The 17,482-nt window shown below is 34.5% G+C and overlaps 1 protein-coding gene across 16 annotated transcripts in view; it reads right to left on the reverse strand.

Annotated features, from left to right (window-relative positions):
• IQCM (IQ motif containing M) overlaps nt 1–17,482 on the reverse strand; it is a 464,135-nt gene that overhangs the window by 223,900 nt on the left and 222,753 nt on the right. For all 16 annotated transcript variants that reach the window (NM_001378180.1, XM_017008904.3, NM_001363507.2 and 13 more), the window contains one exon: nt 12,322–12,389. In NM_001378180.1, coding sequence (NP_001365109.1) covers nt 12,322–12,389 — 68 coding nt within the window. The remainder of the gene's footprint in view (nt 1–12,321; nt 12,390–17,482) is intronic.

Here is a 17,482-nt window from a genome sequence, read left to right on the forward strand (position 1 = left end):
CCCCAAAAAACAAGTGCCCTCCTATTTTTGACTGTTTCTAGGTCTACGGAAATCTGTTTAACTAGATCATATCAAAGGATGGAGATTGATATCCCATTTAAAATCTCTAAGACAATTGGAATTTCTGGGTAGGATACTTTTTACCACCTATGTAGATTCCTAGTTAGAACATTTCAGGTAGTAAAATGCTTAAGGCACTCACTATGGGAGAAGAGAATCAGGCATGGGTGCAGGAGGCAGAAGACATTTTCCAGGCGCATGATATCATGTCTAAGGAAAGAGGGGTCTTATTGTTATTACAGCTACTGCTGCTGCTTGGTTTCAATTTTCCAACAGATTTTCCTCAAAACAAAATAGAGACTTAAAATTCCAAATTCAGTTCAAAAAACACAATTATTTCTTTCCTTCTGGCATAGATAAACATTCTGCAGGAGCACTACTTATTATAAATTAAGTTGAAACTATCATTTCACGTAATGGAAAAGCAAAACCAGAAAAAATACTGTTTTTATTCCAATTTAATCAATTCTGATTTTTTTTCTTTCCAACTTTTCAGGTTTAGGGTGTACCCGTGCAGGATTTTTTATGGGTATATGGTATTTTGTGTTATGGAGTTTTGGAGTACAGATTATTTTGTCACCCAAGTAATAAGCACAGTACCCAAAAAGTAGTTTTTTGATCCTCACCCTCCTCCCACTCTCCACCCTGAAGTAGGCCCTTGTGTCTATTGTGCCCTTCCTTGTATCCACGTGTACCCAATATTTAGCTTGATTTGCTTTTTTGTTATTATTTCAGTAGCTTTAAGGGTACAAGTGGTTTTTGGTTACATGGATGAATTGTATAGTGGTGAGGTTTGAGATTTTAGTGCACATATCACCCAAGTGGTATTTGGTTTTTTGTTCCCAGATTAATCCGCTTAGGATAATGACCTCCAGCTATATCCATGTTACTGCAAAGAATAGGATTTTGTCCTTTTTTATGACTGCATAGTATTCTATGGTGTATATGTACCACATTTTCTTTATCTAATCCACCACTGATGGACATTTAGGTTGATTCCATGTCTTTGCTATGGTGAATAGCATTGCCATGAACATACATGTTTAAGTCTCTTCATGGTAGAACAATTTATATTCCTTTGGGTATGTACCCAGTAATGGGATTGCTACATTGAATGATAGTTTAAGTTCTCTGAGAAATCTCCAAACTGCTTTCCACAGTGGCTGAACCAATTTACATTCCCACCAGCAATGTATAAGTGCTCCCTTTTCTCCACAACCTCACTAGTATCTTATTTTTTGACTTTTTAATAGTACCCATTCTTACTGGTGTGAGATGGTATCTCATTGTAAGTTTGGTTTGCATTTCTCCACTGATTAGTGATGTTAAGCATTTTTTATATGCTCATTGGCCACATATATGTCTCATTTTGGGGAAAATGTCTGTTCATGTCCTTTGCCCACTTTTTAATGGGGTTGTTTTTTGCTTGTTGATTTAAGTTCCTTATAGATTCTGGATATTAGACCTCTGTCAGATGCATAGTTTGCAAACATTTTCTCCCATTCTGTGGGTTGTCTGTTTACTCTGCTGATAATTTCTTTTGTGTGCAGAAGCTCTTTAGTTTAATTATGATTGATTTGCCAATTTTTGTTTTTGCAGCAATTGCTTTTGGAGTCTTAGTCATGAAATCTTTGCCAGGGCTGATATCCAAAATGGTATTTCCTAGGTTTTCTTCTAGAATTTTTTATACTTTTAGGTTTTACATTTAAGTCTTTAATCCGTCTTGAGTTGATTTTTGTATATAATGAAAGGAATGATCCAGTTTTAATCTCCTACATATAGCTAGGCAATTATCCCAGCACCATTTAATGAATAGGGAATCCTTTCCCCATTGCTTGTTATTGTTGGCTTTGTCAAAGATCAGATGGTTGTAGGTGTGCGGCTTTATTTCTGAGTTTTCTAACCTGTTCCTTGGTCTATATGTCTGTTTTTGTACCAGTATTGTGCTGTTTTGGTTACTGTAGCCTTATAGTATAGTTTGAAGTAGGTAGTGTGATGCCTCTAGTTTGTTCATTTTGCTTAGGATTGCTTTGGCTATTTGGGCACTTTTCTTGGTTCCATATGAATTTTAAAAGAGTTTTTTCTAATTCTGTGAAAAATGATATTGGTAGTTGATAGGACTAGCATTAAATCTGTACATTGCTTCGGGCGGTATGGCCATTTTAACACTACTGATTCTTCCTATTAGTAAGCATGTTTTTTCATTTGTTTGGGTCATCCTTGATTTCTTTCAGCAGTGTTTTGTAATTCTCATTGTAGAGATCTTTCACCTCCCTGGTTAGGTGTATTTGTAGGTATTTCATTCCTTTGGTGTCTATTGTGAATGGAATTGTGTTCCTGATTAGGCTGTCAGCTTGGACATTGGTGAATAGAAATACTACTGACTTTGGTTCATTGATTTTGTATCCTGAAACTTTGCTGAAGTTTATCAGATCACGGAACCTTTAGGCAGAGGCTATGGGGTTTTCTAGGTTTAGAATCATTTCATCTGTGAAGAGAGATAGTTTGACCTCTCTTGCTATTTAGATACCTTTTATATCTTTATATTCTCTTGCCTGATTGTTCTGGCTAAGACTCCTAGATTCTGATTTTTTAAATCAAGTTAATATATAATGCATTTTAGGGAACTCTCTTTAACCTAAACATGTAGGAAACTCCATTTTATTGTACCTACATGTTTTACCGGTAGGATACTGAAAAATATTACCATTGAGGTCAACTGAAATAACTAGGGTGTTTATGCCAAAGGCGTGATGAGGGCTGATTTTTCAGTGGCACAGTGACCAGAGTTGTCAATTTTTATCTATGAAAAAGGGAACACAGTAAATTGTTCTGCTCTTCATCCCAACACAGTTATTTATTCCTCTTGGGGATACTTCTGCTCCCAATCCAAACTTTAGTCAGTCATGGAGAAGAGCTGACTCTACCTACTCCCATCCGTCTCTCTCACCTCTGCTCAAAAAAGGGTGAAAGATAAGATTCCTTATCCCTAGAATAGGGACTTTAGATTATAGGGCTCCAGAAAATAAATGAATGTCCACAATTCAGGTGATTCTAAAATCAATTTCTAATATTATACTCAATGTTTTATTGCCAACCACGTATATATCAGGGACTACCATTTCCAAAAGACTGGGGAGACCCCCAAGCGGGAACACACAGAATGATGGTCAGGCAATCATAGGCAAAGCCTGTTAGAGAAGTAGAACTGTGGACAGTCTGAGAGTAACCTGGATTAGAGAGAGATGGGATCCTTTGTCCCCCTTCCCCATGCTTTTGCCTCTCTATTCACCCTCTTAATGTGTTCCTCCATGAAAAAGCAATTGCATATCTGATTTTCCCTGCCTGAGATTTCATTCATTCTCATTGCACTATTAGGGAGGATTACTATGTTTTGAAGAAGAGAACTTATGTGTGTTCTGTCTCTCTATTCTGCTTGCTCCTCCTTGGACGATTTTCTTCATATTACATGCAGGAGTCACACCTACACCTTCTTCTTGAACTAGGCCCAGTTTTCCTCTTTCCCAGCTGCTGATTTCCTATAGTCAGTTTCCTTACTCTCTGCTACACCCTTCAGCAGAAACTAGTGGAATTATGTGTATCCCATGCTTATGAGTGAGGAAGTACACTCTTGACTTCTCTAGAGATGAGGCCATTTCTATTCCAGGGGAGAAAGCAGAAGGCCCCGATTTAGCCTGTAGCTGAAGCCAATATGCTCTAACTCAGGTTTACCAGAGAGCCCAGCCAACAGTAACTGGTTATTTTGTGTCCTCTTTGTTCTGCCTATCAGAGCAGTGTTTTTTTCCATCCAATTAGGCTAGACTGGGAAACCAGTGATGCTGACATTCTGATGCCTCGTGACTAATGCCAGTGTTAGACTCTGGACACATTCAGAGGCATGAACTACCAGCAGTTCACTGCCTGACCCTGCTCCTGCTTCAGCATACAGCTCTCTTGGGCAGGACCTTTGCATAAGAGGCAATTGCTTGCCTTAAATTTGGTTATCTTTATTTTTGCCTCATACCACTGAGAAGTAATCCTAAAGAAAACAGGCCTAGAAGACTTAAGATGCAGCTAAATAACACTTGACTTGGAGGTATATGAGGGAGTTTGGAGATGGTAGCATTTTCAGGAGATGCAGTCTCTAGTAGCTGCTTTTGAAGACTTCATCCTATCCCAAGATCATGACACTGAGATATCATCAAGGGAATTAACTATAGCTCTATTAACTAGCTAGTCATAGCAGAAAGCAACTAAGTCATCTTAGGAATTGACAGAGCCAGGAAAGTAAGTACTGGACACAGTTAAGTATATTCTCTAGCTTAGTACTCAAAGTGTGGTCTGAGCACAAGCAGATCAGTATCACCTGAGAGTTTATTTAAATGCAGTATTTCAGGCCATTTCGATTCTACTATGCTCAAAAAGAATAACCATCAGACTAAAAATGATAGAACAAATACTGATAGAAGAGAACTGAAACGCAAGCCACAAAAGATCTCATAAAGAAAATTGAGACTTCTTTTAATTAGTTAAATTTTCTGGGCTCAGGTGAATAATTTTCCATAGAAATCTGCCGATCTATCTTTGAGAAACTGGAGAATAAAAGAGATGTGAGAATTCTGGAGAATGGCAAATGCCCTCACTTTAAAAAAGAAAAGAATAAAAAATTGTAAACTCTAGGCCAGTAAATTAAATCTTAGAGTCTATCAGTTATCAACTGGATGTTGGGTGAGGACTTAACAAACGAAGCAGTGGTGCCAAGAGCCAGAATGTACACAAAAAGAATAATTCATGTCATGCTAAACTCATTTTCTTTATTTTAATTTAATTTTATAGCTATTTTGCTTTTTCTTACTATATTGCTAGACCAGGAAATAATTTTTGATGTGTCTGAATTTCAGGTAGGCAATTTTCAAGGTTCTCATAAAATCTTTGTAAACAAGGTAGGGAACTATAGGCTGATTGGGTGGTCTTGGGTGATGGGAGGGAGACTGCATCATTAATAACTGAGATAAAGAACACAGTAGAAAAGGATGGGAAAACTAACACGTAATTATTTCAATTTTGAAAAGTTGTTATGGGATATTCCAGTGAAGATGCCCAGGAAGCAGTCTCTAATTTCTAACTTGAGATGAGAACTATACACAGATGGAAGAGAAAGAAAATTCATTATAAAGCAGAGAAAATATATTAAAAGGGTGATTCAATAATTGAACAAATATTTATTTATTTACATATTTATTTTATTACTTGTGTAAGGTGCTATTCTAATGTTGAAGATACCCTGTTGAATAAACTACAAAAAAATTCCCCTGTCCTTATTGAGCTTATATTCCAGTAGAATAGATCAATAGTAATCACAGTAACCAAGTTAATAATAGAGTGTGTTAGAAGATGATGTGTGCCATGGTGAAAAATAAAGTAGGATTTGGTGGTTGGGGAGTTCTGGCAGGGATCAAATACGCAATTTTAAATAGTATGTCATGGCAGGTGGAGGGGTTACTGAAAAGATGACATGTAGTAATTATCTGAGGAAAATGTGACAAGAAGCTAAGTCAAAATGTAATAAAATTACTTGTAAAGTACTTCAATTCATATATATATATATACATACATATATACACATGTATATATATACTTGTGTGTGTGTGTGTGTGACTGCACAATAATTTCACTATGACCTTGAAGATGCTAGGTGTCTTACCTCCCTCATTGTAGTTATTACACTATTTTATAATGATCTACAGGTCTATCTCCCTTCTATGCCCAGAATCCCTGAAAATGACTACTTTTCTTGTATAATAGGTGAAGAGAGAAAGAAAGAGGTAGAGAAAGAACAGGAAGGAAGGAGAAAGGAAGAATATATTAGTAACACATTAGAATATCTGAAAAGTTCTCGGGGTTTGTCTCTTTTTCAGAACTCGAATCAGTATGAGTTATTGCCCTTGGGAAGTTGACCCCTAAAGCTGACATGACGGGTTTCATGAGTTGATCTACAGGGTCTAGGGTTGGGTTCCACTTTACACTGTGCTACTAAAATTTCATTTGAAATACTGTGTTTTTTCCTGAGCATATTTTAATGGGGACATTTTTTAGTACAGTGAGCATCTGTTTCTTTCCTCTGTCTGGCACCTCCTATTCTTTGGAGAATTGCACTTTCCCATTCCAGTCATGTGACTCTCCCATGATTTGTCTAGGGCTGGTCATGTCTTCCAAGGTGGGAAGTCAGCCAGAATATTTCTGTGTGTGTGTATGTGAGGAGAAGGGGAGGGGCAAGGTGCTTTCTGCCTTGGAGCGGGGAGGTTTGGTGGGGAATTGTTTGTTGCTTTTGTTTTTGTTTTTTATTTTTTGTGCTAATACAACACCGCCATTTTGGTAAGAACGAGAAGTGAATTAGATACCTGGGAGCTACCCATTTTCCTTGCCACATGGAGAAAAATTCTATAGAAGGAGGTATTAAAGCCAAGCAGAGATTAAAAATGAAAGAAAAGACAATGCATCCTGAAGACATTACTTGAGTCCTTGAGTCATCTGAGCCTGAGATGCTAAACCAATACAAAGAACAAACAGCCACCAGATCCTGCACCCTTGTAATTCCTATTTAGATGGGTCAGTCAATCCAATGAAGATGCTGTAGACATATATATATATATATATATATATATATATATATATATATATATATATATATATATATATATTTAGTTGAAATAGGCTGAGGGGCTTAATCAGAAAAGAAAAAGTTGATAAGGAGGGGTGACTTCTAGAAGACCAAGGGATACCAGTTCAAGAGAGATAGGTATTAAGCTTAAATCAGACAACTCTCTGAAAATCAGAGCAGTCCTTTGAATTAAATAGGATGACACTTGAATTGAGGTATTATGAATCCCTGGATTTTGCAAATAATGTCCATGTGTGTACAGTGTTATAGAGGAGATTTGTCCTTTGGAAAGAGAGTTTTAGTAGAAAATCTTTAAGTTTCCTCAAATTCTCAAAGTCTATAATTCTGCAAAGACAGAACACACAAGTAGAGGTCACCTGAGAAATGTTATTCACCATACATTTATTTTCAAATAATGTTTAGGATAGGCACTGACCCAGAAGAATCAATTGACAAAAGATGTCTAATGATAAGCAGGCTAACTTTCCATTCATAGGTAACAAAATTTCAGGAGAGACCAAAGAAAAGTTTTTAGGTGAGAAATTTTAAGATTGTTTTGAGATAAAATAAGAGGACTTGATCTCTTTCAGGAAAAAAAAAATGGTGACAAAGAGAATACAGTAATTTTCAAGATAAAAGGGAAACATTCAAGAACCTACATAAATATCTGGACTCTGAAATGTGAATTTTATACTTAGATATGTAAGTTGATGTACCATATGCCACTATATCAAAAAAGAAAATATTTAGAATTGGTAATTCAATTTGCCTTTCAGAAAGATATTAGTGTCATATCTTATTATTATTTTAGTTCCAGTATGCTACAAAATAGGAAGAAGGAAGAATACAACTATTCTTCATCTACATATTTACATGAACTATAATAATATTTGAAATTCTAAAGATTTTTTGAAAATAAGGAAAACTCAAAAGTTCCAAAACAGTACACTTACTTCATAGATGGTAAATTTAAATGTTAACACTTATATCAATAATTAAAGCAAATTAAATACTAAAAATATGAAAGGCTGATGACCAGCCTCTGAACTTATCACAATCACAAATTTAATATTATGAGTCAACAATAGAATGCTTTTCCTCTATGAATTAAAGACCTATCAATTGTTATATTCTATACCTGGAAATCAGTCAAGCATTTTTAAAAACAATTATGAGCTTTCGAAGTTCAACAAAAGGAAAATTTATCACTGAGGTCATAGTAATCTACAAAGCATTAGCAGCTCACTGCAAAAAAATACATCAAAAGAGTGTTTTATTCATGGAATGCAATAGGTTATCTTAAGGAAAACGTAGACTTTTGCAATATGGTTAGAGGTACTAAACAAATTCAAGTGGACCTCAAGGAACATTATGTATAAAGTATTTTTTCTTATGGAAAATAAAAGAACATGTCATCACAATAGTACAATGAATTATAATCTATACAGCTTCTGGTTCACAGTTTTTGCTTAGATATTGAGGATGAACTCTCAATGCATTACTTCCCTTTAGCTAATAATATAAACTGTTTTTGATATTTTATATTAAGGATACTATACTAAAAAAGAGAAAATATATTAATAAAGAAGTAGTTGAAAAATATGATGCTAGGAAAAAATGAGATCCCACTTCATCACAAAATAATCTTTACCTTTATAAAAATAAAAAATAAATGTATACACTATCATTCATGTACACATTACATTTATTTAAACTAAAAATTAAGAACAACATTTATTTGAATCAATTCTATCTGGGTTAGAGGTATTTAATTTTTTAAGACAAATAGATATTTTATTTAAAAAACAGAAAAATGTTCCTTTGGCAATTCTGATTGAACTGAGATTTTCTGGCTTTCTTTGAAATGTTTAACATAAACTTCTTTTCCTTTAAAAATGGTTTTAGAATTTCTCAACCATATTTTAATCTTATGAATTTCTAACAACTTTCAGAAACTTATGGAGTTCTAACAATTTGAAAATGTGTCATTTAAATTAAAATATTGAGGAAGTAGAAAAATTCAGATATTAAGCAATTTTGTTTTATAAGTTTTCATCTATGAAAATAATTTAGTATAAATGTTGAGCATAGGTGTATATGAAATGAATACTTATATAGCAGAATTATAAAATGATAGCAAAAAGATAAACTTTTTCTCATAAAAATACATAAATATATTTAAGAACTCCCAAATTAAATCAAGTATCTATATTCACTATGCAGTCTTTTCAACCCAGTAAATTCATTCTAAATGTGTGAGATTTTAACATTATAGCTCTGTTTAATAATGCTTCTAAGGGAAAATCTTATATATACTTGTACATATACAAACAAAAGTACCCAAGCACTATACAACCATCTTTTCTTCCCTTTCTGAATATTGAAATGTTTACAGTTGAAGAAAACAGGAAGATGAACAACAACAATGACAAATGAATTTGAAATTTGCTTTTTAGCTTTGTGATCATTGAAGATTAGGAGAGAAATAACCAGGACTCTGACTTATCCACCACTATTTATCCATATAAGGCAAAGGCAACCAAGAATAGGAGTGGGTGTTCACATTAGCAGTCATTCCAGACCAAGTGCTGCTGCAGCATTTTTTAGTTTGCTTAACTTCCCCACTCCCACCTTTTAACAGCCAAGTGACTGCCTCTTTTAAAAAAATACTGCTGAGTGGGTACATAAACCAGTCCTATTTGCCAACTGTAAAGGGTTCCCGCAAAGCTTGTGGGTATGTGTAAATTAATTCCATCATCTTTTTTTCTATAACCAAGAAGAGATGGGGGAAAAGAGACTCTCTTATATTTACTGTAGCCTGGCAATAGTAATATATGTGTGACATATTTTTACCCTTGAAACACAAAAGTACTTTAGAAATTAGCCAGTACTTTATTGAAGTTGACTGATGACTGATGGAAGGTTATAATATACTCTGCCTCATGCAGGCTGTAAGGAAACCTCTAGCCGAAAAATATATGGGAAATTCCTCTGTAACAAGAAAAGTTCTTTAGGCAAAGCTATAAATCCAACATGTGGACTCTAAAGTTTCGTGGAATTTTTATGATAGAAATGGTGCAGGATTTCAAATAAAGAAGAGAATCTTAATATTGATTTACTTAAATATTTTCAATTAAGTACATTTGTGTATTTTATATAGACATATATAAAATCTCACATATATACATATATATAGTTTTATATTGTTCACTACTTTGCTTTATTTTCACATTCAATTTCACTCTTTCATATTTCTCTCTCTCTTTGATTCTATGCCAGTAATATTTTTAAATCACTAAAGCCACTCAAGTTTAATAATTTATTAAGTATAGTTTCAATTTACCTCTCTTAAGTAATCATCAGAAAGCCTATTAAAATTTAAGATACAAATGGTATAAAAGAAGCATGACTGACTAAGAATATCACTATGCTGTGAGGTGAGATTTAGATTCTAGTCACAGTTCTGTTTTTTACTTTCAGGACCTTGAAGAAGTCACTAAATCTTTTTTATCCCAATTTTCCTAATTGGAAAATAGAAGGATTGAACCAAGTGATGTCTAAAATTCCTTCAGCCATCATTCTTTAAAATATTTAAGACATCCCTGAAAAACTTACACAGGGTAGACTATACAGAAAAATGTTTAGAGTCCAGATTATCTGACTGGCTGGCTGGCTCCAGGGAAATAACTATAATAAACATTCATCGTGGAGGCTGTCCAATTTTTTATCATTGAAATGGCTGGAGTAATTTTAACTTAGTAACATCTGTAAGGAAAAAAGGCTTCCCAAATTAACCAGGTAAAGAATATTTCTAGGAAAAGGACTTATGCAAGAACACGAACTGCTTTGAACACCATCAAATATTTTCAAAATAATGTACATGTGACTGTTATAATTTATTTGCTTTAGAGGAAGTCTCTCCGTGGGAAGGTTTTTGAAAACAAATTCAATTTCTTTAGTAGACACAGGTCATTCAGATTTTCTATTTCTTCTTGTGTCAGTTTTGGTATGCTATCTGTTTTCAAAAAACTAGACTACTTCCTCTTAAATGCAAATGACATGAAGTTATTTACATATTATTTTATTATTATTCTAATGTCTATAGGATATACAATTATGCCCTCTCTTTCATTCCTGATATTGGTAATTTGTGTTTTATCTCTTCTTTTTTAAAAACTGGTCTTAAAAAGAGCACATAAATTTTATTAATCTTTTCAAAGATTAATGTGCTTTGTTAATTTGATTTATTGTTTCCCTAATTTCTATTTCATTGCTTTCTGTTCTTATCTTTATAAAACCTGTTACATGTGCCCTTAAAAATAATGTATATTCTACATTATTGGATGTAGTCTTCTATAACTGTCATTTTTGGCAAATTAATTAATGGTTTGTTAAAATCTGCTATATGTAGAATTTTCATTTGATTCTTTTGTATAGCTTTTATTTCTGCACTGGGGATCTCCTGTTATTATGAACACCTTTTTTAAGTTTTGAACATTTATAGTAACTGCTTTAAAGCCATTATCTGCTAATTCCAACATCCATAGAAAGAGAAAAATCTTTTTTTCTTTCTATGTAAACAGATGAAGCAATTGAAAACTATGCAAGCTGTTACTTTAGGATGTACTTTCTTGAAGTCTTTTCTACACATGCACAATTCAGGAGTCAGCCCATAATTTTAGAAGAGTTTGTACACAGAATTGGGACTCCTCTCTCTGTGGTTTTCTCCTTTTATGAAATTTCCTAATCAACTTTTAGTCATTTTGGCAGCTCTAAACTCTGTCTTCTGACATTTCACACCATTAACACTGAGGTTTTCTGCCTAAGTTCTCACTATCTTACACTGCATGACGTTGGAAAAGCTAGATAAATGGGGATCTTACCCATTGCAGTTCCTTTCTTTCAAGAGTCAAATAGTTTCCCTCCAGTTTCTGTCCACATGCCATCACTCTCCAGTGCCTTCAAATATTCTTTTTTTAGCTTATAATCATTTATAATTAATAAATGAATGTATTCCCAGTGAATAAGAAAATACAAGTATAAAATCTGCCCTTTTCGAAACTTCATTGTTAACTTTCCACAATTGCTTCTTTCAATCTCACGCTCTAATCTCTCTCACAAAATCAATGTTTTCAAAACAGTTTATCAACAAAGTATATAAAGTAGCAAAGCAATCTAAGAGTTTTTAATAGAGTCATTGAAATGCATGCTTAACCCTAGTGAATTGTGGTACATAGTTTCTAACAAACAAAAAAAAATAGCTAAAACATATGCAGTGTCATTTACGGCATTGTCATTTACTGTCATTTACGGCATTTACTGTCATTTATGGCAAATTAAATGTTTCCACTGCTTTCTCCTAGATACTGAAAAGTAAAACTTCAGCTGGGTCTACTAACTGATTACTAAAACACTCAAAAAACTGTATTTTTCTCCTTTCCTCCGTCAAATTAAAAGGCCACATTGAAAAATATGTATTAAAACCTGAGCTTTCAACAACCTATACTTCCTTAAACCTAGTTATTAAAGTCAGCAATTACATTGATAACAACAAAAATGAGTGCATTAATTTACACTTTTCTATTATATAAAAGATATACCTGGGTTGTGATTTTGGTTCTGGCTTGATAGGTTGTCGCTCCTTTTTAATAAGGGTTTTAAAGGTTTTCTATAATAAGGAAAAGAAGAGTTGACATAAGTAGAAAAACAATGTTATCACCTATAAAATTTTAATTCCATTGACGTTCTGTTATATTATCAAAGGGAGAATCATTATAATATATATTATGAATCTGCACATTTATATACATTTTTTAGTATACTCAGAGGGGTATGACTGTTGAACCTCCTTCAGAACCTTTTAGCACCTAGGAATACAGTTCCTACTAGTTATTTTAATGAGCAAATATCCTTACAACTATATTATAGATCAGAATTTTATTTATTTATTTATTTATTTGTCCTCTGTCTTACAAAAGAGATTTAAGATGCCTTTTAATAAATACAGTACATATGCAAAAGGGAAATAAAATCCAGTGAAGGGGAAAATATGGGTAGAAAAATAATGCCAAATATGCTCTGATAATTTGTGATATTTGAAATTTGGCTCTCAAAAACCTAACTATTGAGGTGTTATGGACTGAACTGTGCTTCCCCTAAATCCATATGTCAAAGCCCTAATCCCTCAATGTGACTGTACTTGAAGATAAGGTTTTTAATGAAGTAACTATGGCTGAATGAGGTCAAAAGGGCGGGGCCTAATTCAGCAGGACTGATGACTTTATAAGACGAGGAAAAGATACCCAAGAAAAGGCCACGTGAGGACACAATAAGAAGATGGCCATCTTCAAGCCAAGGAGAGAAACATCAGGAGAAACCAACCCCACGGACACCTTAATCTTGGACTTCCAGCCCCCAGAACTGTAAGAAAATAAATTTATGTTGTTTAGTCTGCAGTATTTTCTTATGGTATCCCTAACACACTAAAACACACAGTAACAAATAAAACAGTAGTTCTAACATTCACAATGTCTGTAACAAAGCAAGCTTATTTTCAGTGAAAAATTGCTTCCATAGGTTTTTCAAATAAACCTGGCATAATATACCAGCTTCAACAGCATCACTTCCAACAATTTATGGATTTTTCTTATATAATCCTTCAATATTAGTCAAAGATAAGAAGAATAACTGAGGAAGATAATTCTACAAGACCCCAGAAAAACTGGGCCATTGCCTGTCTGGTCATTCAGTGTGGTCCAAATGTAAAATTGATAGCTAGAGGCACTGATGGCTTGCATATCTACTTTATAATCTTCCAGGACAATTTTTGTATAAAATAGCTTTTAAAAAATAGGGAAGAGGAATTTGAAGTAAACTTGATAAATGAGTAAAATGGTTAGAGGATTTTGAGTTGTTAGTGTTGTTGTCTCCCTCAGGCGCTCTAAGAAGTCAGTAACAAAAATTTATTGGTCAGTGATATATGGTGTGCTCATGATACCACAAGGAAAGTGATTATTTTAGTTTTGCATTTTAAGTTTCAAAGGTGTCATTGACAACTAAAGCCAAAAATGTCTCTTCTATAAACTCTCAAGAGATATAAAGAGCCAATGTAAAGATGAAACGTGGAAGAAAGTGTGTTTATCCTGCAAAAATACTCAGCATTGACATACACTGATTTCTAAAACATTTTAAACAAATCACAAATCTCTTTTACTGAGTTAAGCTTCATTCTGACTTATGCTGCCATCTCAGATGCAATCTTACTAGTAAGTGTTAATTTCATTTCATGGCATTCATTTCTTAAGAACTAACATTGACCTTTCTTCGGGAACACAACAATAACCCGGAAAATTGTTGTGCATCATCTCTCAATATTTGTTACATTTAGAATTCCCTGATCATGTTTCCTTTTTCAAAGTAAACAATAATCCTCAAGAATAATACTGTACTTTTTTAAATGTATGTACAACACGTAAATGATAATAAAGCAGGAAGCAGGACCTATATTTTAAATGTTACCCTCAAGATGTTCCGTGACACATTTTCATGGCTATAAAAATACTAATGGCCAGAAAAAAATTGTTAATCTTGATATTTCATACTTTTACACAAAACAATACACTTGGATTGGGACACACTGTCCTTCTGTGCTACTACTGTTTACACTTGCCAACTTAATTTTTTTTCAAGTCCTTCCTTCTTGGCCACACTAACTGAATTGGCACATTCTCCATAATAAGGGGTGGCAAATGTGAAGGCTGTTAAGTAAAACAATCTCAGACAAACATTCCTGAGGATTTCCTTTCTTTAGATGTCCTCTGTGATTCTATTTTCTCTCTTCCAACTTCACTGCCTTTGCAACCTCCATTGATGTTTTCTACCTAACATAATTAGCAATTGATTTTTTCTTTTTCTTTCCTTTTTTTTTTTTTTTTTTTTTTGCTTTCCTTTTTGAAAAGTAAATATCGCCTTTGTTATAAGGGGTCTGGTGTTTTTCTAAGTCTTAGTCTTCTACATACTTATATATTCACATCTCAAGTCTATTCTGCCTTGATGTTTCACCTCTATTTTCTCTTAAATTCTTTCTCTCTTCTTTACACAGCCACTACCTGCTTCTTTCAACTTCTTTTTTTATTATTATACTTTAAGTTCTGGGATACATGTACAGAACGTGCAGATTTGTTACATAGGTACACACATGCCACGGTGGTTTGCTGCACCCATCAATCCATCATCTGCATTAGGTTTTTCTCCTAATGCTATCCCTCCCCTAGCCCCTTGCCTGCCAACAGGCCCCAGTGTGTGATGTTCCCCTCCTTGTCTCCACGTGTTCTCATTGTTCAACTCCCACTTATGAGTGAGAACATGCGGTGTTTGGTTTTCTGTTCCTGTGTTGGTTTGCTGAGAATGATGGTTTGCAGCTTCATCCATGTCCCTGCAAAGAACATGAGCTCATCCTTTTTTATAGCTGCATAGTATTCCATGGTGTATATGTGCCACATTTTCTTTATCCAGTATATTATTGATGGGCATTTGGGTTGGTTCCAAGTCTTTGCTATTGGGAACAGTGCTGCAATAAACATATGTGTGCATGTGTCTTTACAGTAGAATGATTTATCATCCTTCTTTAAAAACCTGGTCTTCCCAGGCCAATGCATTTGGAGTGACACATTCTAAACACTTGGCTGAATATGTAAGTCATTTATTAAACTCCCCTGGAAAAATTTTCAAATTTTTGTAACAACCTAAATAGATGTATTGAAAACTACTTTTCATACTCCTTTTCCCCACATATTTTCTCAAATCCCACAGTTTAACTGGTACCAAGCTTCTGATAATTTACACAATATTTTTACACCTGAGGCTTCTTTCTAAAAAAGCACCTGTATAATTCATCAATTCCCTTCCTCTTTTCAAATATCATTGGATGATTTTTTCTTTTGACAATTCCTTCATGGTCTAATGATTAAATTCTTTCATTAATAAACCATAAACCTTTAGCCTTCAATTTTTGCATCTTAATTATAGATACATTTCATTTAACTCCTATTAGCATAAAATTATAAAATATGTAATTTATAATTGGCCTATTATGCCCCAACACTTACATCCAAATGTGGTTAAAGGTTTTTTTTTTTAATACTTTAAGTTCTAGGGTACATGTGCACAACGTGCAGGTTTGTTACATATGTATACATGTGCCATAATGGTGTGCTGCACCCATTAACTCGTCATTTAGCATTAGGTATATCTCCTAATGCTATCCCTCCCCTCTCCTCCCACCCCACGACAGGCCCCGGTGTGTGATGTTCCCCACCCTGTGTCCAAGTGTTCTCATTGTTCAATTCCCACCTATGAGCACAAACATGCGGTGTTTGGTTTTCCATCCTTGCGATAGTTTGCTGAGAATGATGGTTTCCAGCTTCATCCATGTCCCTATAAAGGACATGAACTCATCCTTTTTTATGTCTGCATAGTATTCCATGGTGTATATGTGCCACATTTCCTTAATCCAGTCTATCACTGATGGACATTTGGGTTGGTTCCAAGTCTTTGCTATTGTGAATAGTGCCACAATAAACATACGTGTACATGTGTCTTCACAGCAGCATGATTTATAGTCCTTTGGGTATATACCCAGTAACGGGATGGCTGGGTCAAATGGTATTTCCAGTTCTAGATCTTTGAGGAATCGCCACACATTGTCTTCCACAATGGTTGAGTTAGTTTACAGTCCCACCAACAGTGTAAAAGTGTTCCTATTTCTCCACATCCTCTCCAGCACCTGCTGTTTCCTGACATTTTAATGACCGCCATTCTAACTGGTGTCAGATGGTATCTCATTGTGGTTTTGATATGCATTTCTCTGATGGCCAGTGATGATGAGCATTTTTTCATATACCTGTTGGCTGCATAAATGTCTTCTTTTGAGAAGTGTCTGTTCATATCCTTCACCCACTTTTTGATGGGGTTGTTTGATTTTTTTTCTTGTAAATTTGTTTAAGTTCTTTGTAAATTATGGATATTAGCCCTTTGTCAGATGGGTAGATTGCAAAACTTTTCTCCCATTCTGTAGGTTGTCTGTTCACTCTGATGGTAGTTTCTTCTGCTGTGCAGAAGCTCTTTAGTTTAATTAGATCCCATTTGTCAATTTTGGCTTTTGTTGCCATTGCTTTTGGTGTTTTAGACATGAAGTCCTTGCCCATGCCTATGTCCTGAATGGTATTGCCTAGGTTTTCTTCTAGGGTTTTTATGGTTTTAGGTCTAACATTTAAGTCTTTAATCCATCTTGAATTAATTTTTGTATAAGGTGTAAGGAAGGGATCCAGTTTCAGCTTTCTACATAGGCTAGCCAGTTTTCCCAGCACCATTTATTAAATAGGGAATCCTTTCCCCATTTCTTGTTTTTGTCAGGTTTGTCAAAGATCAGATGGTTGTAGATGGGTGGTATTATTTCTGAGGGCCCTGTTCTGTTCCATTGGTCTATATCTCTGTTTTGGTACCAGTACCATGCTGTTTTGGTTACTGTAGCCTTGTAGTATAGTTTGAAGTCAGGTAGTGTGATGCCTCCAGCTTTGTTCTTTTGGCTTAGGATTGTCTTGGCTATGTGGGCTCTTTTTTGGTTGCATATGAACTTTAAAATAGTTTTTTCCAATTCTTTGAAGAAAGTCATTGGTAGCTTGATGGGGATGGCATTGAATCTATAAATTACCTTGGGCAGTATGGCCATTTTCACGATATTGGTTCTTCCTATCCATGAGC

The sequence above is a fragment of the Homo sapiens genome, chromosome 4 (assembly GCF_000001405.40).
Source record: "Homo sapiens chromosome 4, GRCh38.p14 Primary Assembly".
Taxonomy (NCBI): domain Eukaryota; kingdom Metazoa; phylum Chordata; class Mammalia; order Primates; family Hominidae; genus Homo; species Homo sapiens.